This window comes from Homo sapiens, chromosome 3 (assembly GCF_000001405.40).
Source record: "Homo sapiens chromosome 3, GRCh38.p14 Primary Assembly".
In the NCBI taxonomy this organism is placed as follows: domain Eukaryota; kingdom Metazoa; phylum Chordata; class Mammalia; order Primates; family Hominidae; genus Homo; species Homo sapiens.
Genome location: NC_000003.12, coordinates 10,081,256 through 10,108,989, shown reverse-complemented (window position 1 = coordinate 10,108,989; position 27,734 = coordinate 10,081,256). Strand labels below are relative to the sequence as shown.

The 27,734-nt window shown below is 44.6% G+C and overlaps 2 protein-coding genes across 13 annotated transcripts in view, besides 1 other annotated feature; one reads left to right on the top strand and one right to left on the bottom strand.

The window, feature by feature from the left end:
* On the top strand, window positions 533-27,670 carry FANCD2OS (FANCD2 opposite strand). 8 transcript variants are annotated; one of them, XR_007095632.1, is made up of 6 exons: window positions 735-975; window positions 2,453-2,549; window positions 4,208-4,792; window positions 14,100-14,124; window positions 21,750-21,858; window positions 27,459-27,670. XR_007095632.1 is itself a non-coding variant. In XM_047447400.1 (4 exons), the coding sequence occupies exons 2-3, from the start codon at window positions 2,531-2,533 to the stop codon at window positions 4,747-4,749; spliced, it is 561 nt and encodes a 186-aa protein (XP_047303356.1). In that variant the 5' UTR covers window positions 735-975; window positions 2,453-2,530; the 3' UTR covers window positions 4,750-4,792; window positions 27,459-27,670. The 8 variants fall into 8 exon arrangements, 3 of the variants coding, with proteins under 3 accessions (XP_047303356.1, NP_775743.1, NP_001158311.1); XR_007095636.1 differs by lacking the exon at window positions 2,453-2,549 and having other exon boundaries at window positions 533-746; XR_007095635.1 differs by lacking the exon at window positions 2,453-2,549.
* FANCD2 (FA complementation group D2) overlaps window positions 7,058-27,734 on the bottom strand; it is a 75,496-nt gene continuing 54,819 nt past the window's right edge. For 3 of the 5 annotated variants that reach the window (NM_001319984.2, NM_001018115.3, NM_001374253.1), the window contains 13 exons: window positions 27,526-27,644; window positions 23,068-23,178; window positions 21,726-21,856; window positions 20,448-20,541; window positions 20,040-20,162; window positions 18,605-18,698; window positions 16,738-16,809; window positions 15,667-15,705; window positions 14,627-14,701; window positions 13,716-13,790; window positions 12,518-12,664; window positions 10,175-10,270; window positions 7,058-7,802 (listed from right to left, as the gene is read on the bottom strand). In NM_001319984.2, the coding sequence (NP_001306913.1) occupies window positions 7,728-7,802; window positions 10,175-10,270; window positions 12,518-12,664; window positions 13,716-13,790; window positions 14,627-14,701; window positions 15,667-15,705; window positions 16,738-16,809; window positions 18,605-18,698; window positions 20,040-20,162; window positions 20,448-20,541; window positions 21,726-21,856; window positions 23,068-23,178; window positions 27,526-27,644 (1,251 nt within the window). In that variant the 3' untranslated portion in view covers window positions 7,058-7,727. Of the gene's footprint in view, window positions 7,803-9,646; window positions 10,271-12,517; window positions 12,665-13,715; window positions 13,791-14,626; window positions 14,702-15,666; window positions 15,706-16,737; window positions 16,810-18,604; window positions 18,699-20,039; window positions 20,163-20,447; window positions 20,542-21,725; window positions 21,857-23,067; window positions 23,179-27,525; window positions 27,645-27,734 lie in introns of those variants that run through there. The other 2 variants (NM_033084.6, NM_001374254.1) reach the window with 2 other exon arrangements.
* Window positions 11,572-12,119: an enhancer, noted in NCBI's record as "NANOG hESC enhancer chr3:10138555-10139102 (GRCh37/hg19 assembly coordinates)". NCBI's record gives its function as "activates a minimal SCP1, AML or CMV promoter by ChIP-STARR-seq in naive H9 embryonic stem cells {active_cell/tissue: H9 hESC(naive)}" and the evidence as "EXISTENCE:reporter gene assay evidence [ECO:0000049][PMID:30033119]".

The window sequence follows — 27,734 nt, the reverse complement described above, 5'->3', positions numbered from 1 at the left end:
ATGGCGAAAGTGTATTTCTGCATTATAAGAATGAGACAAAATCATTCTTTTTGAGATTTTTTTGTTTTCTTTTTGAGCTGGGAATCTCACTACGTTGCCCAGACTGGTCTTGAACTCCTGGGCTCAAGCAGTCTACCCATCTCAGCCACCTAGATAGCTGGGATTACAGGTACTCTCAGGTTTAACGCAAGGCTGAGAAAGGTTTTCTGTCAGGAAATCAAGGAAAGACGTGCGTTTCCTCCTGCTCTTGACAGGTGAACATTTATTAATTCTCTTTCTTTGCCACTGGGATCATTCAAATAGAGCAACAAAACCTGACAGAGCTCTGGGTCACTCTGCCTGAGCACCCACTGAGCAGAGTGTGATGAGTTGGGACTAACTTTTAACACTAACTACAGGTCCTGGGACTTTTATGCAGGCCTCTGACCATGGCCATTGAAGTAGGGGTCGCCTGTCCTCTGTGGCTTGATCAAAGGCACACAGGTACACAGGTGTGGCACGGTAGGGAGGAGGACAATGGAGGGGACAGGATTCGGACCAGCCCTCCTGAAGGCCAAGTCCTGGACAAGGCATTCCAATGAGGTGGGGGCGGGGAGTGTGGCCCTGACGCCTCCCAGTAGGGCGCCTCGAGCCCCCATCCCCGCCGCGGCTCGGGCTGCCCTGCCGTCCTGGGTCACAAAGGCGGTTGCCAGGCGCCACGAACAGCGGCCGCCACTTTGGAGCGTGAGACCCTCAGAGTTCAGCAGGTGAGCCCCGGGCCCGGATGGTGGGACTGGGCCCAGGTTCCCACCGCATCGTCCGCCTCAGCCAGAACCTTCTGGTCCCCGCCCCCGGATAGGGACCCAGGAGGCCCAAGCCCCTTCTTCCGGCGGGGAGTGGGAGCCTCTCGCACTCTCGGCAGCTCCAGACCCTCGGGATCTCCGTTTACAGTTCAGGACCTCAGCTGCACTTTGGCGCTAACGCCCTGTTTCCCAGGTGGGGAAATCAAGAGATGGGGTTCCTTGGAATGGGAAGTGGGGTGTGAAGGGGAAACCTTTTTGGCCAGGAGAATCAGGTGTTCCATATCTGGGAGCTATTGAGCAGCTTGAGCAGACTTTGTAGGTTCAAGCCCTTCTGGAGTGGTTGACAGTGACTTCTGGGCGGTGGGGATGGGGTGAACCATCTTTAAACTTTGTGCGAAGAGGTGCAGGGACCTAGGTTTAGAAGCGCTCTCGTCCCATGTTGGTTCTGCCGAATATTTAGGCTGACTCCTGACCTCAAGTGATTGGCCCGCCTTGGCCTCCCAAAGTGCTGTGATTGCAGGCCTGAGCCACCGCGCCGCGACCTAGGCTGGACATTTGACAAAGACTTTTACTTCTACCTCTACTTCCTCTTAGAAGATGTGGCAAGAAAAGGATCCGGGGGGCCCGGGCCCGGTGGCTCACGCCTGTAATCCCAGCACTTTGGGAGGCCGAGACGGGCGGATCACGAGGTCAGGAGATCGAGACCATCCTGGCTAACACGGTGAAACCCTGTCTCTACTGAAAATACAAAAAAATTAGCCGGGCGTGGTGGCAGGCGCCTGTAGTCCCAGCTACGGGAGGCTGAGGCAGGAGAATGGCGTGAACCCGGGAGGCGGAGCTTGCAGTGAGCGGAGATCGCGCCACTGCACTCCAGACTGAGTGACAGAGCAAGGCTCTGTCTCAAAAAAAAAAGAAAGAAAGAAAGAAAAGGATCCTGGGATTAAATACTTTTTTAAATCCCATATTCTGGGATTAAAAATATGCTTGACAGCATTCATACCCTCCGCCCACCTTGCCATGGTGGTGTACCACAGTAGTCCCTCTCTTGGATATGTGCTCTGAAGGTCAAGATATCAAGCACCAGAAGCCTTTCACAGGGTGTTTGGAATAGATAACTGTCCCTTGGGTGTCCCTTTCTCATTCTAAGGCAGCCCAGATATTTGAACACTTAGTACTTTGCAAAGAGCCTACATAGATCATGAGAAACATACTAGTTGGAGAAAATCAACAAATCCCCCTATACTAACCATTGTCAGGAGCAGGTCTTCTGGTCTGAAATGTCACCAACGTTTTTTTCTTTTTTGAGACGGAGTCTCCCTCTGTCACCCAAGCTGGAGTTCAATGGCTTGATCCCGGCTCACCGCAGCCTCCATTCAAGTGATTCTCCTGCTTCGGCCTCCTGAGTACCCGGGATTACAGGCACCCACCACCACGCCTGGCTAATTTTTGTATTTTTAGTAGAGACGGGGTTTCACCCTGTTGGCCAGGCTGGTCTTGAACTCCTGACCTCAAGTGATCCACCCACCTCGGCCTCCCAAAGTGCTGGGATTACAGGTGTGAGCCACTGTGCCCGGCCAACAGTTCTTTTTTTAAAACGAACTTTTCTATCTCACAAACGGCGGTGAAGGTGTCAAAATTTTCACAGTATTTCTGGGGCAATTACTGGATAGGATGAGATCTGCTGCTATCTTCTGTGGGAGAAGAAGGGGCAGAGAAATACACTTGGCTAGAAAGAAAAGGGACCTGCTATGCCCACTAACAAAATAGGTACGTGCTAAAAAAAATTAGCTTCTGAATTTAGTAAAACTTCTTATATACTGGCAATGTTGAAGGAGAATGATGGAAAATTCTAATTTTACTTGCATAAATTTTCAGTTAGCAATATCCTCACAGCCCTTTTTAATCTTCAAAGGAAAAAGAAAATTAAGGTCTTATGGAACCAGTAGGTCTTCCATAGATGGAAAACAAACAAATCAGAAAAACAAATTTAAAACCACACCCACACCTAGAAAAACAAAAATCTTTAACAGTTTTTTGACTGGACTTTGGAAGTGTTTTCTCCCAGCCTGGTGTAGCTCCTCTGAGGTGGTATATAAATAACCCAGGGGTCTGCAAGTTGCTCCCTTGTGCTAGAAAATGCAGAGGCCTTTGGGGCCAGGAGATGATCTCAGTAATGAATAGTGAAAGCTAGAGTTGTTTGAAAGGAATAGCATAAGAAATTCTCAAAATAGACAATGCAAGAGGGCTTATATAAATGCAGATTGCTGGGTCCCACGTGGAGTTTGTTCCTGTTGGTCTGAGGTGGGGCCCAAAAATGTGCATTTCTGCAAGTTTCCAAATGATGCTGAAGCTGCTACTACAGGGTTCATACATCGCGAACCTCAAAATATATATATATATATATATATATATATATATATATATATATATATATAATTTTTTTTTTTTTTTTTTTTTTAGATGGAGTCTTGCTCTTTCACCCAGGCTGGAGTGCAGTGGTGCGATCTTGACTCACTGCAACCTCCGCCTCCTGGGTTAAAGCAATTCTCACACCTCAGCCTCCCCACAGAGCTGGGACTACAGGCATGCGCCACCACGCCCGGCTAATTTTTGTATTTTTAGTAGAGACAGGGTTTCACCATGTTGGCCAGGCTGTTCTGGAACTCTGACCTCAAGTGATCCGCCCGCCTCAGCCTCCCAAAGTGCTGGGATTATAGGCATGAGCCACTGTGTCCAGCCACAAATATTTTTAAGACATGACTTTTCTGAGCTTCTTCTAATCTCAAGTAATAAGGTCTCATCATGAAGTCCCAGAAGCTTCTGTCACCTCAGAAGATAAAGACTCTGTCATTAGCAGCTAACAACACAGCATAGGTCCTAACAGTGGACCTATATTCATTTCAGACAAATCCATTGCCTCATCTATAAAATGGGTTAAGACCTACTTCCAAAGGCTTGTGAAAAAGTTTAATATAAAGTTTTAGTACACATAGCAGTTGCCAGATCAATACTTGTAATCATTCCCTACTTCCCTTTATTAGAATTACTAATATCTAGGCTGGGCGAAGTGGGTCACGCCTATAATCCCAGCACTTTGGGAGGCCGAGGCGGTGGATCACCTGAGGTCAGGAGTTGGAGAGCAGCCTGGCCAACATGGCAAAACTCTGTCACTACAAAAAAATACAGTGAGCCAAGATCGCTCCACTGCACTCCAGCCTGAGTGACAGAGCGAGACTCTTGTCTCAAAAAAGAAAAAATAAAATAAAATAAAATAATTACTAATATCCTAACACCTGTTGGAATCTATTCATGGGAACTATAGAACAAGTTTATGTCTATAGTGAGACAGAGATGGGAATTTGAAAGGCCATGCTCTCATGAAAAGCATGTCAGGGAAATTCCATGCTCTGATTTCCCTCCTTTAGGACTGTCAATGGCAGGATACCAGCTCTGGTCACCATGGACCCCACTGGATGAGAGTTTCCAATGGCTGCGGCACACGACACCTACACCTTCCTCCAAGCACCCATTCAAGGCCTCCCCCTGCTTCCCACACACACCGTCCGACCTTGAAGTGCAGCTGTGCTTTCAAGAGGTCACTCTAGTCCTAGACAGCCCATTCCTGGAATCTGGAGTGAGTCCCAAGTTACCCTGCCACACATCAGAGTTGCGCACGATGAACAACAAAGGACTGGTCAGGAAGCCCCAGCCCATCCGCCTCAGTGGAGTAGATTCTGTCTTTGGCAGGGTTATCACAGCTCAGCCACCAAAGTGGACCGGGACTTTCAGAGTTTCAGACAAGTCAGCCTTTTGCAAAATCATTAGCAGGGAGCACCAGTGGCCCATTGGACTGAAGGAGCCTCAGATTCAGATGACAGTCACTATGTGCAAACAGATGCTGCGCTCTATCCTCTTGCTGTATGCAACTTACAAAAAGTGCACCTTTGCCTTGCAGCACTCCAAGTAAAGGGTCCTCATTTGATCCCCATTTACTCACACCATGCCCTTTGGTATGTACCTAAAGCTTACAGAAACCTGTCCATGTAAATGAAACTGTGACATTGTCCCAGCCATCTTGCTTTTGTTTCAAGCAGTGATGATTCAGGAGCCCCTTTCATCCCTTCCCCTCCAAAAAAGGACCAATGATAGAGAACAAGGAAGAACATTCCCATTGTAAGGTTGAACCATTTAGAGTCAAACTAGCATTGACATGTCCATGTGATAACCGTTAAACAAATGATATAAACCAATGAGCCTAGTGTGAACTCACATAAACACCTACAACCACAATGAATTGGGGGGAAAAGGGGTGTAGAGGAGAAAGATGTATGGATTTCTATGTACCAGGGGATGTCAAAAATCTATATATATAGGTCAAGGATTACTTTAAAACCTCCCCCGACCAAAACAATGAAAATAAGAAAAAAACCCTAACCAACCACACCCTAATACCACTAGAGTGTACAAAAGTGGGTAGAAATACTGATATTAAACAATACTTACAGCCTGGCAAGAAAGAACTTGGTAGCAGCACTGAAGCTAGGCTTTCTGGTAGGCTACATGGAACTCATGAGTCTCCATTTTAGCTGAAATGTACTCCTAATGTAATTTTGTAGCATTTTTTTGGTTTTTGGAGACAGGGTTTCATTCTGTCATCACGGCTGGACTACAGTAGCATGGTCTTGGCTCACTGCAGCCTCAAACTCCCAGGCTCAAGTGATCCTCCCGCCTCAGCCTCCTGAGTAGCTGGGACTACAGGTGCGGGCCACCATATCTGGCTAATTTTTGTATTATTATTATTTTTTGAGATGGAGTTTTGCTCTTGTTGCCCAGGCTGGAGTGCAGTGGCGCCATCTCGGCTCACCGCAACCTCTGCCTCCCAGGTTCAAGCAATTCTCCTGCCTCAGCCTCCCTAGTAGCTGGGATTACAGGCATGTGCCACCACGCCCAGCTAATTTTGTGTTTTTAGTACAGACAGGGTTTCTCCAGGCTGGTCGGGCTGGTCTCGAACTCCCGACCTCAGGTGACCTGCCCACCTCAGCCTCCCAAAGTGCTGGGATTATAGGCATGAGCCACTGCGCCCGGCCATTAATTTTTGTATTTTTTTTTTTTTAGTAGAGATGGAGTTTCACCACATTGCCCAAGCTGGTCTTGAACTCCTGGACTCAAGCAATGCCTTGGCCTCGGCCTCCCAAAGTGTTGGGATTACAGCGGTGACCCACAATATCTGGCCTTTGTAGCGTTCTTGTAACTAGGTTAGGTATAACTCAGAAAATGGAAATAAACATTACATATACAAAGTTAACATGAGTTTGATGCTGCTTTTTTATTTTATTTTATTTTGGTCTTTTTTTTTTTTTTTTTTGAGACGGAGTCTCGCTCTGTTGCCCAGGCTGGAGTGCAGTGGCACAATCTCAGCTCACTGCAAGCTCCACCTCCCGGGTTCACACCATTCTCCTGCCTCAGCCTCCCGAGTAGCTGGGACTACAGGCGCCCGCCACCAAGCCCAGCTAATTTTTTGTATTTTTTAGTAGAGACGGGGTTTCACTGTGTTAGCCAGGATGGTCTCGATCTCCTGATCTCCTGGATCTCCTGGATCTCCTGATCCACCCACCTCAGCCTCCCAAAGTGCTGGGATTACAGGCGCGAGCCACCGCGCCCAGCTTTTTTTTTGGTCTTATACTATTACACCAATCAAAAAAATTTTAAAAGCAGCCAAAACATTCCTTTTGACTTTCTTTGGGCACTGACAAGAAATTGAAGTTGGCCGGGCATGGTGGCTCACGCCTGTAATTGTACCACTTTGGGAGGCCGAGGCGGGTAGATCACGAGGTCAGGAGTTCAAGACCAGCCTGGTCAATATGGTGAAACCCTGTCTCTACTAAAAAATACAAAGATTAGCCAGGCATGGTGGCGTGTGCCTGTAGTCCCACCTATACAGGGGGCTGAGACAGGAGAATTGTTTGAACCTGGGAGGTGGAGGTTGCAGTGAGCTGAGATCGTGCCACTGCACTCCAGCCTGAGCGATAGAGTGAGACTCCGTTTCAAAAAAAAAAAAAAAAAAGGAAAGAAGATCAAGATCAAGTCAATCCTCCAGAAAGATCAGATATATCTCATCTCAGATGAAGTTGGTTCTTACAATAGGAGACATGATTTTAATCGGCAGAACTATGTTAGCACCAGTCTCCATAATTTCTCTGCACAAATCTCAATTCAATTCCACCTAATCCTTGAATAATGAAGCAAATCCAGAAAGATAAATGAGGCAACTGAGGCAGAACTTAGAACAGAATTTATTTGTAAAATTGGTACAAGCCTAAGTTCTACAATAAATCAGAGTTTCAAAACTAGCTCCCAAAGTCCAGAATCATGACTCAGAGATTTTACTCTGCAGTGTAGCACAGCTGGGTTTATCCAAACCAATAAATAATGCTACATTAGAATCCTGAGCCAGGGACTGTGATGGTGTTAGACAATCCATGATGTCCACAAGTTAATAAAGACCCCACTTTAAGAACAAAATATGGCTGGGAGCGGTGGCTCATGCCTGTAATCCCAGCACTTTGGGAGGCTGAGGCAGGTGGATCATGAGTTCAGGAGATTGAGACCATCTGGCCGACATGGTAAAACCCCGTATCTACTAAAAATACAAAAATTAGCTGGGCATGGTGGCATGTGCCTGTCGTCCCAGCTACTCAGGAGGCTGAGGCAGGAGAATCGCTTGAACCTAGGAGATGGAGGTTGCAGTGAGCCAAGATTGCAGCACTGCACTCCAGCCTGGGAAACACAGCGAGTCCCCGTCTTTAAAAAAAAAAAAAAAAAAAAAAAAAGAGGAACAAAAAAGGATCCTACCAGTAAGAAAGGCAAACAGCGGATTTCAAACTCTAACACAAAATGATCACAGGCTGGCAGAGACACAGAAGCAGGCAACAATTTATCTGGGGTCTAATCAGAGTCATCATAACTCTCATCACTATCTTGCTCCTTTTCTCCAGCACTTACTTCGTCTTCTTCACCATCCTAAGGGGCAAAGAATAAATAAATAAGCATTTTAGGTTACTGCTCTGGGTGACCTCTGGAATACAGCTCCTAGAGGATACACAACTGTACTATTATCACTGTTAAAACTTTTTTTTTTTTTTAAAGGAGTCTTGCTCTGTCACCAGGCTGGAATGCAGTGGCATGATCTCAGCTCACTGCAACCTCTGCCTCCCGGGTTCAAGCGATTCCCCTGCCTCAGCCTCCCAAGTAGCTGGGATTACAGGCATGTGCCACCACGCCCGGCTAATTTTTGTATTTTGGTAGAGACGGGGTTTCTCCACATTGGCAAGGCTGGTCTCAAACTCCTGGCCTCAGGTGATCTGCCTGCCTCAGCCTCCCAAAGTGCTAGGATTACAGGCGTGAGCCATTGCGCCCGGCCCAATTTGCATAATTTTAAATAAGCTATGGTCCTCCAGCTCTACTGCATGTATATGACATAGGAACAAAGAGGGCATTCGATATAGAATGAAATATTTATTACAAGTGGTGGTATGGCAGTGCACGGTGGCTCACGCCAAAGTAATCCCAACACTTTGGAAGGCTGAGGTGGGTAGATCATCTGAGGTTAGGAGTTCGAGACCAGCCCGGCCAACATGGTGAAACCCTGTCTCTACTAAATATACAAAAACTAGCCGGGCATGGTTGCAGGCACCTGTAATCCTAGCTACTTGGAAGGCTGAGGCAGGAGAATTGCTTGAACTCGGGAGACAGACTGCAGTGAGCTGAGACTGCACCACTGCATGCTAGCCTGGGCGACAGAGGGAGACTCCGTCTCAAAAAAAGAAGTGCTGTGCTGGTGTATCTCAACAGGAATCCAGTACAAAATTCTGTTCTGTCTGGCTTACGATACTAGTATGAGAGATCTGCTTAGGGGAAAGTACCAAACTAATAGGATATTGTCTGCCTCAAATTCTGAGAAAAAAGTAGAAGGGGTATATTATACAAATAAAACTGGGGACCATGTAAATAAAATAACTTTTTTATTTTGAGACAGGGTCTCGCTCTGTCATCCAGGCTGGAGTGTGATGATGGCTCACTGCAGCCTCCACCTCCTGGGCTTGAGCAACCCTCCCACCTCAGCCTCCTGTGTAGCAGGGACCACAGGCATGCGTCACCATGCCTGGCTAGCTCAAAAAAATTTTTTCTGTAGAGATGGGGTCTCGGGTTGGTCTTGAAATTCTGGGCTTAAGCGGTCCTCCCACCTCAGCCTCACAAAGTGCTACGATTACAGGTGTGAGCCACCCCATCAGGCCAGACTTTTCATACTAAATGATCTTTCTGGATCAGACTCAAATTGCATTACAGACAGAGGCCCCACAGCAGGGGTTCTTAAATCTGAGCTTTTTGGTGTCTATAACCTACCTGAATTGTGACAAAATTTTATAAATGTACACTTTTTTGTTGTTGTTGAGACGGAGTCTCACTCTGTTGCCCAGGCTGGAGTGCAGTAGCATGATCTCGGCTCACCACAACCTCCACCTCCCAGGTTCAAGTGATTCTCCTGCCTCAGCCTCCCAAGTAGCTGAGATAACAGGCACGTGCCACCACACCCAGCTAATTTTTGTATTTTCAGTAGAGATGGGGTTTCACTATGTTGGCCAGGCTGGTCTTGAACTCCTGACCTTGTGATCTGCCCACATCGGCCTCCCAAAGTGCTGGGATTACAGGTGTGAGCCACCGCACCCAGGTTTATTTTTCATTTTTTTTGTGGAGATAGGGTCTTGTTATGTTGTGCAGCTTTGCCTTGAGCTCCCGGACTCAAGCAATCCTCCTACCTTGGCCTCAAAAAGTGCTAGGATTACAAGCATGAGCCACTGCGCCAGCCATGTCTACATTTTTATTTAGCTTTCTTTAAATTGTCGAAAGCATCTGTACCACAAAAAAGCGTAAGAACTTCTATTTTTATTTCAGTTCTCTAAGGTGGCAGCTTCTGACTCTGTGCTTTGGCTTTCACCAAATGCTTTCACATTTCTATTTTTGTATGTTTCAAATGTGTTTAAATGGTTTAACTCATTCTTCTCAACACTCAGAAAATACTTCGATGACTTCTCCCTTCTAAAATGGTTTCAGATATGAATTCATGGAAAATGAGAGGCTATAATGCAGAAAATTGTCAACTCTATAACAAATGCCACAACTCGAGATACTCAGGAGTGATTCTAAGATTGTGTCGTTGTTTCTTCTGGGTCCCAAAAATTATATAAGCACAGAAGCTGTTATGGAGGGAATGGAAATGGGCATAGAAGCATTTGACAATAAACATAAGTAGGCAAAGTTCTGCTCCACCAACTTAGAACAATTAACAAAATGCAACCATCAGTGCCAGACTCTGGTGGGTTTTGTAGAGATACCTCAGTGGCTTTGCTCTTGGAGGCCTGGGATGACATGTCATCCTCACTCTCATCTGCTGTGCTCTCCTGGGAATTTTGGGACTTAATCTCTTCACCCTAAATGTGAATGGACCAAGAAAATGGTGGGTTATAATGATCACATTTAGGGTAATAGGGGAGAAGGTTGAGTTTACAGGCAATACAAAGGAAGATATTTTAGCCATTCAAAACACAGCAAACATGGATACCAACTTGTGATTCAGCATCTAGAGGAGGGATACTCAACTCCAGGTTTCTGAGATGTCTGTGGCCCTGATACAATAAGTAATGTAACGAAAGGTTCATCTTAGTATGCTAGTATCACACTACATTTTAAAAGGCTAGACTGTATTGGTGACTCTAAGTCGATGCTGAACATGGTTCTAAAATTTCCCAAATACCTTAAGGTATCTAAGCACTATCACACCAAGCACGAATGGCCATGCGGAGGCTAAAGGACAGTATGGTGAGGTGGTTTCAGAACATCAGCTCTGGATTTGGGACTGTTTGGACTCAAACTCCGGCTCCACCCACTCACTGTTGAATGACATTAGGTAAATTACTTAACTTCTCTGAGCTTCAATTTTTATGCAGAAACAATAGTATCTGCCTCATAAGGTTGATGTGAAGAAAGGAAGCTAATTCTCTGTGGTGCTGTTTTATATATTTCATATATAATTGACTACAAGACTCAGATATTGTAAGCATGAAAGAAAAGGGCTTATACTACCCTATCTGAAAAATGTTGTAACTCCAAAGTAGTATTATAAACAACACAAGATTTCAGCTAATCAGACAACTAAAAAAAACCTTATAAATGCTCATTAGTTAAAATTAGAGATTGTTGCGGGAAGTCAGGGACCCCAAACGGAGGGACCGGCTGAAGCCTTGACAGAAGAACGTGGATTGTGAAGATTTTATGGACATTTATTAGTTCCCCAAATTAATACTTTTGTAATTTCTTATGCCTGTCTTTACTGTAATCTCTAAACATAAATTGTAAAGATTTCATGGACACTTACCACTTCCCCAGTCAATACCCTTGTGATTTCCTATGCCTGTCTTTACTTTAATGTCTTAATCCTGTCAGCCGAGAAGGAGGTATATAGTCTCAGGACCCTGTAATAATTGCGTTAACTACACAAATTGTACAGCATGTGTGTTTGAGCAATATGAAATGTGGGCACCCTGAAAAAACAACAGGGTAACAGCAATTGTTCAGGGTATAGGAGAGATAACCTTAAACTCTGACCGCCGGTGAGCCGGGCGGAACAGAACCATGTTTCTCTTCCTTCAAAAGCAAATGGGAGAAATATCACTGAATTCTTTTTCTCAGCATGGAACGTCCCTGAGAAAGAGAATGCACACCTAGGGGTAGGTCTCTGAACTGGGCCCCCCCGGGTGTACCTGTCTCTTATGGTCGAGACTGCAGAGGTGAAATAAACTCCAGTCTCCTATAGCGCTCCCAGGCTTATTAGGAAGAGGAAATTCCCGCCTAATAAATTTTGGTCAGACCTGTTGATCTCAAAACCCTGTCTCCTGATAAGATGTTATCAATGACAGTGGTGCCCAAAACTTCATTAGCAATTTCAATTTCGCCTCGGTCCTGCGGTCATGTGATCTCACCCTGCCTCCACTTGCCTTGTGATATTCTATTACCCTGTTAAGTACTTGATGTCTGTCACCCACACCTATTCGCACACTCCCTCCCCTTTTGAAAATCCCTAATAAAAACTTGCTGTTTTTTGTGGCTTGTGGGGCATCACGGATCCTATCAACGTGTGATGTCTCCCCCGGACGCCCAGCTTTAAAATTTCTCTCTTTTGTACTCTGTCCCTTTATTTCTCAAGCCAGCTGACACTTAGGAAAATAGAAAAGAACCTACGTGATTATCGGGGCAGGTCCCCCAATAAGAGATTAATTTGTAATTTCTGGAATAAGACAGATTGGCTTAGGGGAAAAAAAATAACAAAAGAAATGTTTGTCCCTATACAAAAATGTTATTATGAATCTACCCTCAGTGGGGCTTAAAGGAGCTCCTCTAGCTGTGGAGAGAGGTTTGTACTGGTCTGACTCCTTTATGTCTGAGGCATTGTTTATATCAATGGCATGTTTTGGTGCCTTGCTGCCTAAGATGAGGGGTGCAGCCTGTGACCAGGGCCCATGAGTAATGTACCATAACTTTAAGAGTTAAACAGTCACAGACTTAAGAGAAAAGTAGCCTTACTGAGAGACGAGGGCTTAGGTGACCTTCCTTACATGCCATCTGATGCTGTCACAAAGAATAAGAGTAGGGGATTATCACTAGCAGGATCCAAGGCTTACCTGCAAGTCCCGGTTTTTTAGATTGCCCAGCCAGAAAGCCTCTCTACAATTGTTGAGAGTGAGCATAGCTTTGACTCTGCAAACTAAAAGTTCCAGGGTCTTTTTGAGCAGAGGCACATGTTGGGTGAGTCTCGTGTCCTGGTGAATCTGAATGGAAATAAATAACATCCATCTTTTGTGAGTTTATCATCATGCCTTCACATTTCTTATAGAAACCTTTGAATGTTGAATAAGAACACAAGCCCTGCCAGTATGGGCCAACGGTATGTTCCATCAAACAGGAATAGTTTGGCAGAGTAATCCAAAGAGAATGGCAGCTAAAGAATTCAAAGCCTAGAAGACATACCACCAACACCTCTAGTTCCTCTTCATAACCTCTTACTGGCCGATCTTCAATGAATTTACCTAAAATATTCTTGAATATATATTTTACTGATATTAAACAATAGAGTAGCCCTGTTTAGCTAAGAGAATTCCTTAAACATTCACTGTCCAGCCGGGAGGCGGAACTTGCAGTGAGCAGAGATTGTGCCACTGCACTCCGGCCTGGGCTACAAAGCGAGACTCCGTCTCAAAAAAAAAAAAAAAAAAAAATCACTGTTCAGGACCTTATAAATTTAGAACCAGAGGAGGAAGTAAGTAACAGAAACTGGACTCAAGAATCATTTGGTTTGCCAGTGACTGCAGAACTCTAGGGTTCTGTGTTCATTCAGACAAAACGTGACAATACCTCATTAACTATAAGAAGGCTTCAAGTGGAAAAATCCTTTAATGCTAAGATGTTCTCATAAGACATAGATGAGTTCCTTGAAAGTAAGTGGCACAGATGAAAGCCTCTACAGATGGCTGCTTTAGAGCCACCTCCTGTCTCCTGCAGGATCATCACTTACATCACAGTCCTGTTACCTAGAGGACTTTGCAGAAGTAAACATATACCAGCATTCTATTTCTGTCACCCAAGAAGTTTCTAGAGGAAAAAGAGCTTTGGAGTTTGAATCAAATTTCAGATGCGGAGATTCCCCTCTAGAGGACTGCCCAATCTCAAGGAGCAACTAAGGATTTGCTCTGAATAAACTGCCTTTGGACAGACACAGTCCCAGATATAAAGGAAGAAGGATGGTAGCCCATGGATCCCCCAATAGCAACTGCAGATTAAGCCAACAGGCAGGCTGCTGATAGAACCTGCTCCCCTTCTTACCTTGGAATGCCCACACAGGTGATGAAGCAGCCTTGTGTCCAACTGGAAGGTTTCCAGTAAGCTCAGAACATCTTCCTATAACCAATAAGTTTATAAATGCTCTATGAAATGTCCTGATTTCATTTTAGATTCAAGATACCCTTGCAATCAAAAGCTCCAAAGAGGATAAACTCTGCAGTTTCCAGCCTATGCTGATAATCATCTTAATTTGCCTCTCAAATAGGAGGAATAGCAGCTACCTCTTATTCTCAACTCTCCCATTTCTGTCCCTTGTATCAATCTGAGAGTTATAAGACCTGCATTTTAGTTTTACATAGGTTACCATGTCTCAGTTTTCCCATCTGCAACATTAGGATAAAATACCACCTTCCCTTTCTCTTTCAGGGCTGTGAGGGACCAACCAAATATGGTGAGTATTTTGTTCAACTTGCTAAATATGTATAGGAAATAATGTGATTCTATCCTTAATTCATCACTCTAGCCCTGGATGCCATTGGCTAAAAAACTGTCAAGACTGTTCATTACCACAGCAAAGGGTTTTATGACACAAATGAGCTTTTTTTTTTTTAAAATCATTTCTGAGAGTATACCTACAGAAGCATAAAGGAATAAGCAAATGACACACTGATACATGAGGACCTGAGAGTGCAGTAGCACAATAAAATCAAGCTAAAAGGAAGACCACTGTCAGATCTGGAGAAGAAATAGAAAGGTGGGTTTGATCCAGAGTGGGCCTGAGGAGTTCAGCCTACTTTGGAATATTCAGTCCAATTTGGGGATCTCTGGCTACAGCTGAAGTGGACCAGAGGAGCCCAGGTAGAACACTCCCAGCCCCACCCAGGAGTCACCAAGGACATATCTTCTGAGCAACTCTTCAGTGCATATCTTTGTTCTCTGCTCTTAGCTCTTACCCGGTGTTTTCTAAAACTGAAGTCTAGGAGCGGCATACATTGCTTCAGAAATGCTTCCACAAAGAGACGCCCATACTGAAGAAGAGAGACACACTGTTACCTCTAGCTGAGGTATCTCACTGAAAGGCCCCTGAGGCAGAATAGTCTCATCCAGCCCAAGGGTTTTATTTTCTTATTTATATATATAAAAAACAAATTGGGAAGGGTCCAAAAGGTTTATTTGGAGAATGTAACTTAATACAAAAATCAAATAGGCCTGTTAACTAAGCCCCAGAATTAGGCAGACTTACCTACCACAGATACAGTCGATGGACAGGGAACTTGCTCAGCTTAGGAGTGAGAGCATAGAGTAGAGGGGAGCTCTATCTGAGGATAACTTACTCCCAAGAGGGAAAAACTGGGTAAAGCTGAGAAAGCATATGACCAATTTCTAAATTTCCCAATCAGATAAATGACTCCTCTCTCCAACTTGCCCATCTCCCACATTGCGCAAGGGTGGAGTAAAAAGGGAGAGTGACCAGGAGATGACAAGAATGGGGCACCATCCACTTGGAAGGAAACTTGAGGAGTGGCGAAGTAGCATTCTCCCCATAACATTCTGACTGGACTTCCCATCAAATCTAGGGCTAATACAGGCTATTCCCACAAAAGAGAAGTTTGGCAATTATCAGGATATCAGATCCCACATTTGTAAGGCCACCCATAGACTTTAAAGAAAAATCATCTACTCCTCCTTCCTCCCTTTTGCCTGGTAAGGAATGGCACGGAAGGTAACTACTGCTCCTAAACTCAACTGCCCTGAAGCCATTCCTCCTAGTACTAAGATTCTTACCAAAAGTTTTCAAATTCATAGGAAAACTGGCTTCTCCAATCATCCAACTAGGGTGGGAAAATGCATCCATTGCCTTCCCTAAACTGGCATAGATTCTGGAAACTCTGGCTTGTGGGCAAGAAATTGAGCAATTTATCTCAGCTGAGGTCCTCTCTAGAGTGATCCACAGGAAGAATAAATATGAAACAGGGCCCAGTAAATCTCTCACCTTCAAACATACATGCAGAACAGGATGACTATCAAATACCTGGAGAGGTGAAAGACAAGAAACCAAGGCTGAGATCTGCTCCTTTGAGCACTCCAGCCTCTTTCCCGCTGCGCAAAGCACAGCTTTGGGTGCTGCAGAGAATTCTAAAATGGAGGAATGTCAACATTTAAATTAATATTACAAAGCAGAATAAAGTAATTATCACAACTGAAGTTCAAGAAAAGGAAGAGACGAGCAAAGAGAAATAAACTGATTCCAACTGGGAGTGTTGAGAAGATGGCATTATTAGAGGTCCAAAACCTTGATCTGAAGACTTAAGAAAGACTGGATGAGGCTGGGCATGCTGGCTCATGCCTGATATCCCAGCATTTTGGGAGGCTGAGGCTGGTGGATCACTTGAGCCCAGGAGTTCGAGGCCAGCCTGGGGAACAGAATGAGACCCTGTTTCCACAAAAAATAGAAAAATTAGCTGGGTGTGGTGGCATGTTCCTGTAGTCCCAGCTACTCCAGAGGCTTCAGTGGGAAGATTCTTGAGTCTAGGAGGTTGAGGCTGCAGTGAGCTGTGATCACCCTACTGCATTCCAGCCTGGACAACAGAGTGAGACCCTGCCTCAAAAAAAAAAAAAAAAAAAAAAAAAAGACATGAAAGAGGTGGAGAGACAAGGACATTCTAGGCTGGGGGAACAAGCTGAGCAAAACCACGATGGAGTGGGTGAGAGCACAGTGTGTTTAAAGGAGAACGAGGGCATTCAGGGTTAGAAGAGGGAATGTGCGCTCAGATCATAGAGGATCCAAGGCAAGGTGAAAAAGTGAGGGAATTACAGATGGAAGGAGTCATTAAATAGTATTGTGGCATAAGTAGGAGGAAGGAAGGAAAAGACAAAAAAAAAAATGCCTAGTGAGAAAAGGGGTTATCCAGGATGGGTAGGGGGACAAAGGAAGAAGACGACTCAGGGAGAGCAGGCCCCAAGGAAGAGTGGGAAGAGGAGCAAGGAAAGTCCATTTTGGAAGCCAGGACACTTGGTTTCTGCAGTTATTTGGTGAGATGTGTCAAGCAGTCTCCATACTCACCTTTATCAAGTTGATGAGGATACTGAAGTCTCGAACAGCCATGTTCCAGTAGAGGAGTTTCTCTTCATGAATCTGGGGCAGCCAAATATATGGGCACCTCTGAGTCACAGCCAAATACTTCCCTTACTGTATTCCCACTAAGATATAGTTCTTGAATTACATAGCTATACAGATATTTAAGCCAATTATCCTTAGATGTAGCAACCAGTGCATCCACAAGATGGTTCTGAGGCCTGCACATGTTGTGGTAACATTAGAACACCTCATAGGGACAGACTTTCTAAAAAGTTTCCTCTTCAGCAATTCCCAAGTAAGTAAAAGCCTTTGCAACATATACTGACCATGTTGGCCAGGCTAGTCTCGAACTCCTGACTTCATGATCCACCCACCTCGGCCTCCCAAAGTGCTGAGATTACAGACGTGCGCCACTGCACCCGGTGGTAGTTGCTGATTCTTCTATGTCTTGGGTCCAAGTTTTCTCCTAAGCTGTTTTTTGTTTTTGTTTTGTTTTGAGTTTCTGAGATTCAGGATTTTTTTTCAAAGAGTTCCTAGTTTAATTTCCTTTCCCTCTAGTTAGAGGTGAGGAATGGGCTCTCTTTTCCTTGGCTACTGCCCAGTTTGCCTCCTGCTAACTGGCATGAGGTAAGCCAGCCTGTTTGAGATACTGTGGATCTTGGCAGCCTGCTAACCAGAACGGAGCTAGACAAGTAAGAGAAAGGGCTAGCATAGGGAAGCAGAGAAGCTACAGCCGGTATATGTTTTTTCTTTTTTTTTTCTTTTTGAGACAGGGTCTGAGTCTGACATCCAGGTTGGAGTGCAGTGGTGCAAACTTGGCTCACTGCAGCCTTTGCCTTCTGGGCTGCACTGGTTTATGCCAGGTGCAGTGGTTTATGCCTATAATCCCAGCACTTTGGGAGGCTGAGGCGGGAGGATTGCTTGAGCCTATGAGTTCAAGACCAGCCTGAGCAACACGACAAAACCCCGCCTCTACTAAAAATAGAAAAATTAGCCGGGCATGGTGGCGTGCACCTGTGGTCCCAGCTATTTGGGAGGCTGACGTGGGAGGATCATCTGAGCCCAGAAGGCAAAGGCTGCAGTGAGCCAAGTTTGCACCACTACACTCCAACCTGGATGTCAGACTCAGACCCTGTCTCAAAAAGAAAAAAAAAAGAAAAAACATATACTGGCTGTAGCTTCTCTGCTTCCCTATGCTAGCCCTTTCTCTTACTTGTCTAGCTCCGTTCTGGTTAGCAGGCTGCCAAGATCCACAGTATCTCAAACAGGCTGGCTTACCTCATGCCAGTTAGCAGGAGGCAAACTGGGCAGTAGCCAAGGAAAAGAGAGCCCATTCCTCACCTCTAACTAGAGGGAAAGGAAATTAAACTAGGAACTCTTTGAAAAAAAATCCTGAATCTCAGAAACTCAAAACAAAACAAAAACAAAAAACAGCTTAGGAGAAAACTTGGACCCAAGACATAGAAGAATCAGCAACTACCACCGGGCGCAGTGGCGCACGTCTGTAATCTCAGCACTTTGGGAGGCCGAGGTGGGTGGATCATGAAGTCAGGAGTTCGAGACTAGCCTGGCCAACATGGTGAAACCCTGTCTCTACTAAAAAATATAAAAATTAGCCGGGTGTGGTGGCGCATGCCTGTAATCCCAGCTATTCAGGAGTCTGAGGCAGGAGAATTGCTTGAACCCAGGAGGTGAGGTTGCAGTGAGCCGAGATCATGCCACTGCACTCCAGTCTGGGCAACAGAACAAGCAAGACTCTGTCTCAGAAAAAAAAAAAAAAAAAAAAAAAAAAAATCAGCAACTTCCAAGTAATCCAAAGTCCACTTCTTGAAGTGACTATTATCTTACTCACCTGCTGCGAGTCTGCTGCTGTGCCAGGCTCAATTTTTTTCACCGTCTTCTCTAGTTCAGCCATCATCACACGGAAGAAAACAACAAAAGTATGCCTAGAAGACGGGAAAAGCATGCGTGCCCACACCATGATGCACTGCTTAGAACTACCTGGGAAGAACCAGGAACCAAAAGTAGCTTCCTTCCCTACCTCTCTAAATGTCCTTTCACTAGGGTCCTTAGTAAGAGGATGGGGGAGCGGAAAGGACTCAGTAATAAGCCCAAGAAGATTGCCTGTCAAACAATGGAATTAACTTTATGAAAGGAGGTGTTATGGTAGTATGGAAAAAGCAATGAAGTAACAGTGAGAAGATCTGAGTTTGAGTCCTGGTTCTATGTTTATTTTATTGCACGTGTAAGCTTGAGAAGTTCTCTAGCTCTCATTTTCCTCAGCAGTAAAATAGGGGCAATGATACCAACCTCACAGAATTATCAAAAGGATCAAATGAGATAAAGTGAAAGTGCTTTATAAACTGAAAAGACTACAAATGTTAAGATAACTATTGATATTCTGAGACACACACCCATTAAGTGAGACATACATGTGAGCACCCTGTTCTCAAGATGGCTAAAATATCTCAGCTGGGCACAATGGCTCATGCCTGTAATCCCAGCACTTTGAGAGGCCGAGGCAGGCAGATCACCTGAGGTTGGGTTCAAGACTAGCCTGGCCAACATGGTGAAACCCAATCTCTACTAAAAATACAAAAATTAGCCGGGTGTGGTGGTGGGTGCCTATAATCCCAGTTACTTGAAAGGCTGGGGTAGGAGAATCGTTTGAACCCAGGAGGTGGAGGTTGCAGTGAGCTGAGATTACGCCACTGCACTCCAGCCTGGGTGACAAGTTTTCTCAAAAACAAAACAAAACAATACAAAACAAAAACCACCATGGTCCTCTCAAATATATTAGCTGAGAGCCCTTGAAAGGAATGCATAACAGACTCTCTTTATTGAATGAATGATTATATCTACTGTCTGTATCAGAATTAGATGAGGAGGAGCAAGGCAGTTGTGTGGAAGCTATATACGTTGGACAGTGTGATTATGATTCTTTTTTTTTTTGAGATGGAGTTTCGCTCTTGCTGCCCAGGCTGGAGTGCAGTGGCGCGATCCCGGCTCACTGCAACCTCCGCCTCCCAGGTTCAAGCAATTCTCCTACCTCAGCCTCCTAAGTAGCTGGGATTACAGGCATGTGCCACCACGCCCGGCTAATTTTTGTATTTTTAGTAGGGACAGGGTTTCACTATGTTGGCCAAGTGGGTCTCAAAACTCCTGACCTCAAGGTGATCCTCCTGCCTCAGCCTCCCAAAGTGCTGGGATTACAGGTGTGTGCCACCGTGCCCAGCCTGATGATGATTCTATCTTAAGGGAAAAACTGGAGGAAAGAACTCCCTTACCTGGTCAGTGTAGGGAATGTGGAGGAAGATGCATCTTTAGGAGAGTTGATCAGTTCTGGGACACCAACACCAGCAATCTCCTCTATGGCCTTCAGAATGCTCTCTGTGTGCTCCAGGTAGATACTGCATTGAGAGTCAAATATTTGACCCACTAATTAACAAAGTAGAATACAACTACAGATTCCTCTAATTCCTCTATGATCTGAATTAACAATAAGCAGTTAGCTAACAGTATAAAACAGAACCAGAGGATCTTAAGATCCACATGTTCCAAATTGTGTTCATTTTTAACCTACTTCATTGTTTTCAAATTCCCACTAAAAAGGTCATTTGTCCAGTCTCTGACAAACAACAGTAGCAAAATAGAAAAAAGCTATTTGGCTCATTGGAAGAAACCAAACATCTCACCAGAGCAGAGCATGGAGCTGGTCATTAGAGATGTTGCTCTTCTCTTTATCCCCACTTGGCCACACCCGACAGAGGAATTGTCTGGCAAGGGAAGCTGTTAGAAAAGAAGACAAAGGAATCTTACATATGGGAACTTGACCTCATTCTTGCTTTTCAGGTTTTTGAGGATGATTATTGATCAAAAGGATTATTAGTTTAGATTTACTAAGACGTTCCCGGTCTAACAGGCAACTTACAAAAAGCTGTCACGTTCCTGATCCACTGGCCCTTTTGCCAGACATAAACTCATTTGCCTAAGGCTCAACACGTCCCACCCCAACCCCATCTTGAAACACACAAACATGCAAACATGAACATAAATACAGACACACAGAGAAAAGGAATGCTGCTGGGCAGTGGGAAGGCCAATCTTGTTCCTCCTGGGCTGGCCAATAGCAGTGGTCACCTCCAAGATTGAGACCAAACCTTCCCCTTTTAATCAATAGGGATAAATAAAGGTTTGTTTTGCATTTTTATCTTGCTTTCTGATGTGCTGCCAACTAGGATGAGCTGCATTCTAAGAGCTACAATAAAAGACAGTTTAAGAAAGAGGCCAGGGCTGGGCACAGTGGCTCACGTCTGTAATCCCAGCACTTTGGGAGGCTGAGGCAGGTGGATCACGAGGTCAGGAGTTCGAGACCAGCCTGACCAACATGGTGAAACCCCGTCTCCACTAAAAATACAAAAATTGGCTGGGCACGGTGGTGCGCACCTGTAATCCCAGCTACTTGAAAGGCTGAGGCAGGAGAATCGTTTGAACCTGGGAGGTAGAGGATTGCAGTGAGCCAACATCGCACCACTGCACTCCAGCCTGGGTGACAGAACGAGACTCTGTCTCAAAAAAAAAGAAAAAGGCCAGGGAAGAGGCCAGTATTTCTTTTATACTTGACCCTGATTTCTCCTTTATTTCCTACTTTATTAACCTCATGATTTATGTCTCGTTTTGTCAAATGTCTCAGATAAATTTTTTTTTTTTGAAAAGGAAGAACATGATTAAACTTAAGCCAAAGAGAAAACTATCTACTCAGCTTGTCTAACCAAACTCAGACTAAGCAATTTTAGCAGAAATCAGTCAGGTTGTTCTGGGAAAATGACCTTCTTGGTATAGCAAGAGGGCCTATCCAAGGTTATGTGGGGATTTACATGTAAAAATGTCCTGGGAAGCCCAAAGTTTGTAAGTGTGAGATATTAGTCCTATTCATTAAAAAAAAAAAAAAAAAAAGGATCTAGGCCCATCACCAATTTTTTCTTTGTTCTGAGCAGAAGCTGTTGATTTCTCCAAAATAACCATCAAAAGTCTGATGAGATAAAGAGCACACTGGAAACTGGGAATGCTTTGATGGAAATTCTGCAAGTAATGGACGCTCTGGCTGTAAGGAGACAAGAAAAACAAACAAATGCAATAGTATCCTATGTGTCACAGATATATTTAAATCCACATGACGTGCCCAAGTCCCTTTCAGTGTTTGACGGCCTAATCAGAATCCTCCTTATTTTCAGGTGCTTTAGTAGCAACCCTCTTCAAGCATCTTGGTAGAAAACCATACCTTTGTATGGAAAAAGCCAGGGCAGAAGACAGCCCCACTGATGGAATGTTGGCCTTGAAGGGGTCATGTATGCTGAGAAACCCAAGCACCACGCTAATATGTACAACCCTAGATAAATTATCTGCTCTTTAAAGCCTTAGGCAATACACTGAAAATAATTTGTAAAATCTGGGTTCACAGGCCGGGCATGGTGACTTATGCCTGTAATCCTAGCACTTTGCTAGGCTGAGACAGGCAGATCACCTGAGCTCAGGAATTAGAGACCAGCCTGGCCACATGTCGAAAACATCTCTACAAAAATATAAAAATTAGTAGGGTGTGTCAGCATGCGCCTGTAATCCCAGCGTCTTGGGAGGCTGAGGCAGTACAATCACTTGAGCCCAGGAGGTGGAGGGTGCAGTGAGCTGGGATCACTCCAGCCTGGGTGACAAAGTGAGACTCTCTCTCAAAGAAAAAAAAAAGAAGATATAAGGTCCTGACCTATAGACAGGGATGATAAGCACTGACTGCTGACCCAGTGATGGTCTAGGTTACCAAGGGAAGTGAGAGAAAGACCAAGTCACTCTGACTGAAGGGGGAGGGGGCCGAAAGCCATGCCCCTGAGATCATGTCACCTCCCTTGTCCACTGCCTACCCCTCAGCCACATAAGGTCTTCCTACAAGACAAGGGGAAAGAAACAGGCTATCAGTGATAACTAGCTGCTGCCTAATTACCCAAATCTGCTGGGAGACAGTAGGTCCCTGGATAATCAAGAGTTGATTACAGATGGTCAATGTTTTCATCATTATTACTTGAAAAGGCTGAGTTTATGGGCTGATGCATTCATGAAGATTTAGCATGATTATTCAAGGTTTCTAATACTTCAGGATTTATCAGAATACATAGATGAGAAAGCTCATATATGAGGAGAGTAGCTGAAAATAATTTCCTTTACAACTACTGAAAGACACCCAGGTTATTTTAAAGAAAGTTGCCAATCCTGTTCCTAGGAGTTTCTTGGGACAACAATCTTGGCTATGTAGTTATGACTCACCTGAGTAGTTCCTCCAAAGGCTGGCTGTGTTCTCCCTGTTTCAGTCGGCTACTAAGGACATGGAGGGCTGAATACAGTAAATTCTGATTTTCAGGTTGAGAAAATCCACTCCTAAGGAAGTCAAGGTAAGAGGGGTTAGCTTAGTTTCTGGAAAACTACTTGGATAGTATTTAAGGATCCTGGCCTCCAGTCTGTACCATCAATAGTTTAACGGTTTGAAAAAAGAATTGAGAGGTCGGGCGTGGTGGCTCACACCTGTAATCCCAGCACTTCGGGAGGCTGAGGCGGGCGAATAACGAGGTCAACACATGGAGACCATCTTGGCCAACACGGTGAAATCCCGTCTCTACTAAAAATACAAAAATTAGCTGGGTGTGGTGGCGGGCACCTGTAGTCCCAGCTACTCCAGAGGCTGAGGCAGAAGAATCGCTAGAACTCGGGAGGTGGAGGCTGCAGTGAGCCGAGATTGTGCCACTGCACTCCAGCCTGGCGACAGAGCGAGACTCCATCTCAAAAAAAAAAAAAAAAGAAAGAAAAAAGAAAAAAGAATTGAAATGGAAAGTACTGAAGTACCAAATTCAATCACAGCTCTAAGTATCAGAGTAGAAACTGAAGTACATCCAAAGTAATCTTTCCTGAAGTCTTCATAGGTTTCTTTTCTTCTTTCCTCTTTCTTTTCACAGGGGTGAGCCACCACGCCTGGGCCATAGGTTTACTTTGAAGGGCAAAAAGCTCTCCTTCATTCCCTATATTTTAGAGATATGTAGTCTTCTTCAAAAATACAGGAATAATTTTGTCAAACTGCTAAATCAATGTCCAGCCCATAGTGGTACTTACCCCTTCTCCTACATTAATGAGTCAAGTCTTGACATTTCTATCTTTGGATTACCTTTCATATTGTCCCTTCCTTTCCAAGCCTAGACCATCATTTTGGCCAGGCCCCTATCAATACATGTGTAGATCATAGTGACACCTTTTGAGTGTTCTTTTTTGCATCCCTTTTCAATCTGTCCTGCACTCTGCTGCCAGAAGTGTTTTCTTAAACCACTGCTTTCATTGTATTATGGCTGTGATCATAAAACTCCAAAATGGCTTCCCTGGACAACATTTAAATTATTCTGCCTGACCTTTGAGGCCCAGCACAATCTGACGTCCTAGATCTTCTCCTCTAGAAGCATCTTCCTGATCACCAGTGATAGTCATTCTTCCTTTCAACAAATGTATTCTGAGGGCCTATTAGGTGTCAGGTTTTTGGTCTACCATAGCTTCAATGAGATATAGTTGATGTACAATACACTTCATGTACTTAAAATGTTGAATTTGGGCCAGGTATGGTGGCTCACGCCTCTAATGCCAGCACTTTGGGAGGCTGAGGCGGGTGGATCACTTGAGCCCAGAGGTTCAAGACCAGCCTGGGGGCAACATGGCGAAACCCCGTCTCTACCAAAGAAAAAAAAAAGGAAAAATCAGCTGGGCATGGTGGTACATGCCTGCAGTCCCAACTGCTTGGGAGGCTGAGGTGGGAGGATTTATAGCCTGGGAGTCAGAGGTTGCAGTGAGCTGTGATTGTGTTACTACACTCCAGCCTGGGCAACAGAGCAAGACCCTGTCTCAGGGAAGAAAAAAAAAAAAGCCAGGTGTAGTGGCTCACACCTGTAATCCCAGCACTTTGGGAGGCTGAGGTGGGTAGATCACGGGGTCAGGAGTTCAAGACCAGCCTGGCCAAGATGGTGAAACCCCGTCTCTACTAAAAATACAAAAATTAGCCAGGTGCAGTGGCAGGCGCATGTAATCTCAGCTATTCAGGAGGCTGAGGCAGAAGAATCGCTTGAACCCGGGCAGCAGAGGTTATAGTGAGCCGAGATCGCGCCACTGCACTCCAGCCTGAGCGACAGAGTGAGACTCTGTCTCTCACACACACACAAAAGCATGGGAAACAAGTTTAGAATATACTATGTAAAACCACAGGCTAAATTGCTCAAAATATTCCTGTACCAGACCCTGGTGGACATACCTTTTTTTTTTTTTTTTTTTTGAGACGGAGTCTTGCTCTGTCGCCCAGGCTGGAGTGCAGTGGTGGGATCTCGGCTCACTGCAAGCTCCACCTCCCGGGTTAAGGCCATTCTCCTGCCTCAGCCTCTTGAGTAGCTGGGACTACAGGCGCCTGCAACCACGCTCGGCTAATTTTTTGTATTTTTAGTACAGACGGAGTTTCACCGTGTTAGCCAGGACGGTCTCGATCTCCTGACCTCATGATCTGCCCGCCTCGGCCTCCCAAAGTGCTGGGATTACAGGCGTGAGCCACTGCGCCTGGTCGGTGGACGTATGCTTTCATTTCCCTTGATTAAATACCTAAGGATGGAATGGCTGAGTCACATGGTAGGTGCATGTCTAGCTTTTTAAGAAACTACCAAACTATTTCCCAATATGGATGTACCATTGTAAAGTCCCCCTAGAAGCATGTGAGAGCTCCAGCTGTTCCACCTTCTCACCAACACTTGGCATGCTAAGTCTTTTTGATGTAGCTATGCTAGTGAGTGTGTTGTGCTATCTCATTGTGCTTTTAATTTGCATTTCCTTAAGAAGTAATAAACATCCTTTCATGTATTTATTTTAATTGTTTTTATAATTTTTAGAGATGGTTTATTTTCTGTGTTAACTTCACTGGGCCATGGGGCCCAGATTTTTTTTTTTTTGAGATGGGGTCTGGTTCTGTTGCCCAGGTTGGAGTGCAGTGTTGCAATCTTGGCTCACTGCAACCTCTGCCTCACAGGCTCAAGCCATCCTGTCACCTCAGCCTCCTGAGTAGCTGGGACTACAGATGCATGCCACCATGCCCAGATAATTTTTGTATTTTTTATGGAGACAGGGTTTTGCCATGCTTCCCAGGCTGGTCTCGAACTCCTGAGCTCAAGTGATCCACCCACCTTGGCCTCCCAAAGTGTTGGGATTACAGGCATAAGCCACGATGTCAGGCCCCTTTCACATGTTTATTTGCCATCTATAAGTCTCTTTGATAAATTGTTCAAAGTTTTTGTCAGGCACTGCTTTTAAGTAATGAGGATATAAAAATGACAGACATCTGCCTTCATGGAGCTCAGAGTCTAGCAGGAAAGACTGATGAACAAGTAATTATAATAAAATGAGATTAAGTTTTATCACGAACGGATACCAGAGTGTTAGAAGAGAACTGGGGGTTAGAGAGGCAGGATGGATGCTTAAGTTCAGATCTCAAGAGATGTGATGAGTCAGAAAAAGCTGGGGATCAAGAAGAGTGGGGGTCCTGGCAGGAGAATGAACATGTGCAAAGCCTCCCACGTAAAAGCTATATAGGGTGCTCAAATTAATTCAGTGAGGCTGGAGGCAGAGTATAACATAATAAGTGGAATAGCAGGAGTCAGAAGAAGACCTAGAGGCTAGGTAAGAGAGTTTTAACTCAAGAAAAATCTAAGAGCAATCAGAAATCAAAATTGGGATAGGATCAAACTGGGTTTATGTTAGGAAGATCACTCTTACTGCCATGTGAAGAATGGACTGAGAGAGGCCAAGTGTGAACCTAGCCCAGTCCAGGTTGAGAGATAATGGGAGTCTGGAAGCAGTGGAGAAACAGGGACAGATGGCTATCTAGATGTTATTTATAACAGAAAATAAAATCAACAGGATTTGGCAATCAGATGTGGGAAAAAGACGGTGGAGAGCAGAGGGAGGGACAAAGAATAACTCCTGGTTTCTGGTTCAGGCAACTGGTGGTACCATTTACTAAGCCAGGCAAAGCTGAAGGAGCATGCTAGGGATGACATATTCCATTTTGGATGTGGAGTGTGAGGTGTCAATGCCACATCTAAGGAGGTGTTGCGTAGGCAGTTGGATATAAATGCCTATAGCTCAGAAAATAAATTTTGGCTAAATTTAAGCTTGGGTAGGATTGACCAGAAATCTTGTATAATGAGAACAGAGAGCCCAACGCCTGTCCCTGAGGAACAAAAGTATTTAAGGGGCACACCTCCCTTAGTTCTACTTTTGTCCATGTTGTACCTTCCACTTCCTTCCGTTATCTCTCTAAAGGCCATGTACCCTTCTGGGGTTCCCTTGAGTCCCACTGTTTCCATGAAGGTATCATGGAATAGCCCAGCTCACAGTGTTCAGCTCATCACCAAACAATCTGGAATTAAAGCATGCTAAAGGAAACTGGACTAAGGAACAGATGGCCACATCTGTTATCAGCTCATCAGCAAGTCACCTAATCTGTCAAATGGGTTAACATAGTGGCTCCAAAGGACTCAGAGGGTACAAGATCAAATGAAATAATACAGACAAAAACACTCCCACAAAATTAATGAACCATATTCACATAAGATTTTTGAACCTTTTCTTTCTTTTCTACATTTCAGTGCCTTGGTGACTGTCAAATAAAAGCAAGTATATACTCAGTTCTCTCCACACTTCCCACATACTTACCAAGCAAAAAGCCCATGAAAAATCTGCAGCAGCCTCTGATAGCAGGAAGACATTATGTGGTACTCCTGAACTTTCACTCCTGGTCCATCAACTACACCGTGATTCTCAGCAGCTAAACACTAAAAATAAAAATGATTTTAGGACAGTTGCTTCAGTAATTGTCCTCATTTTCCTTTTTCTCAGCCAAAAATGAAACCTCATATTTGCTT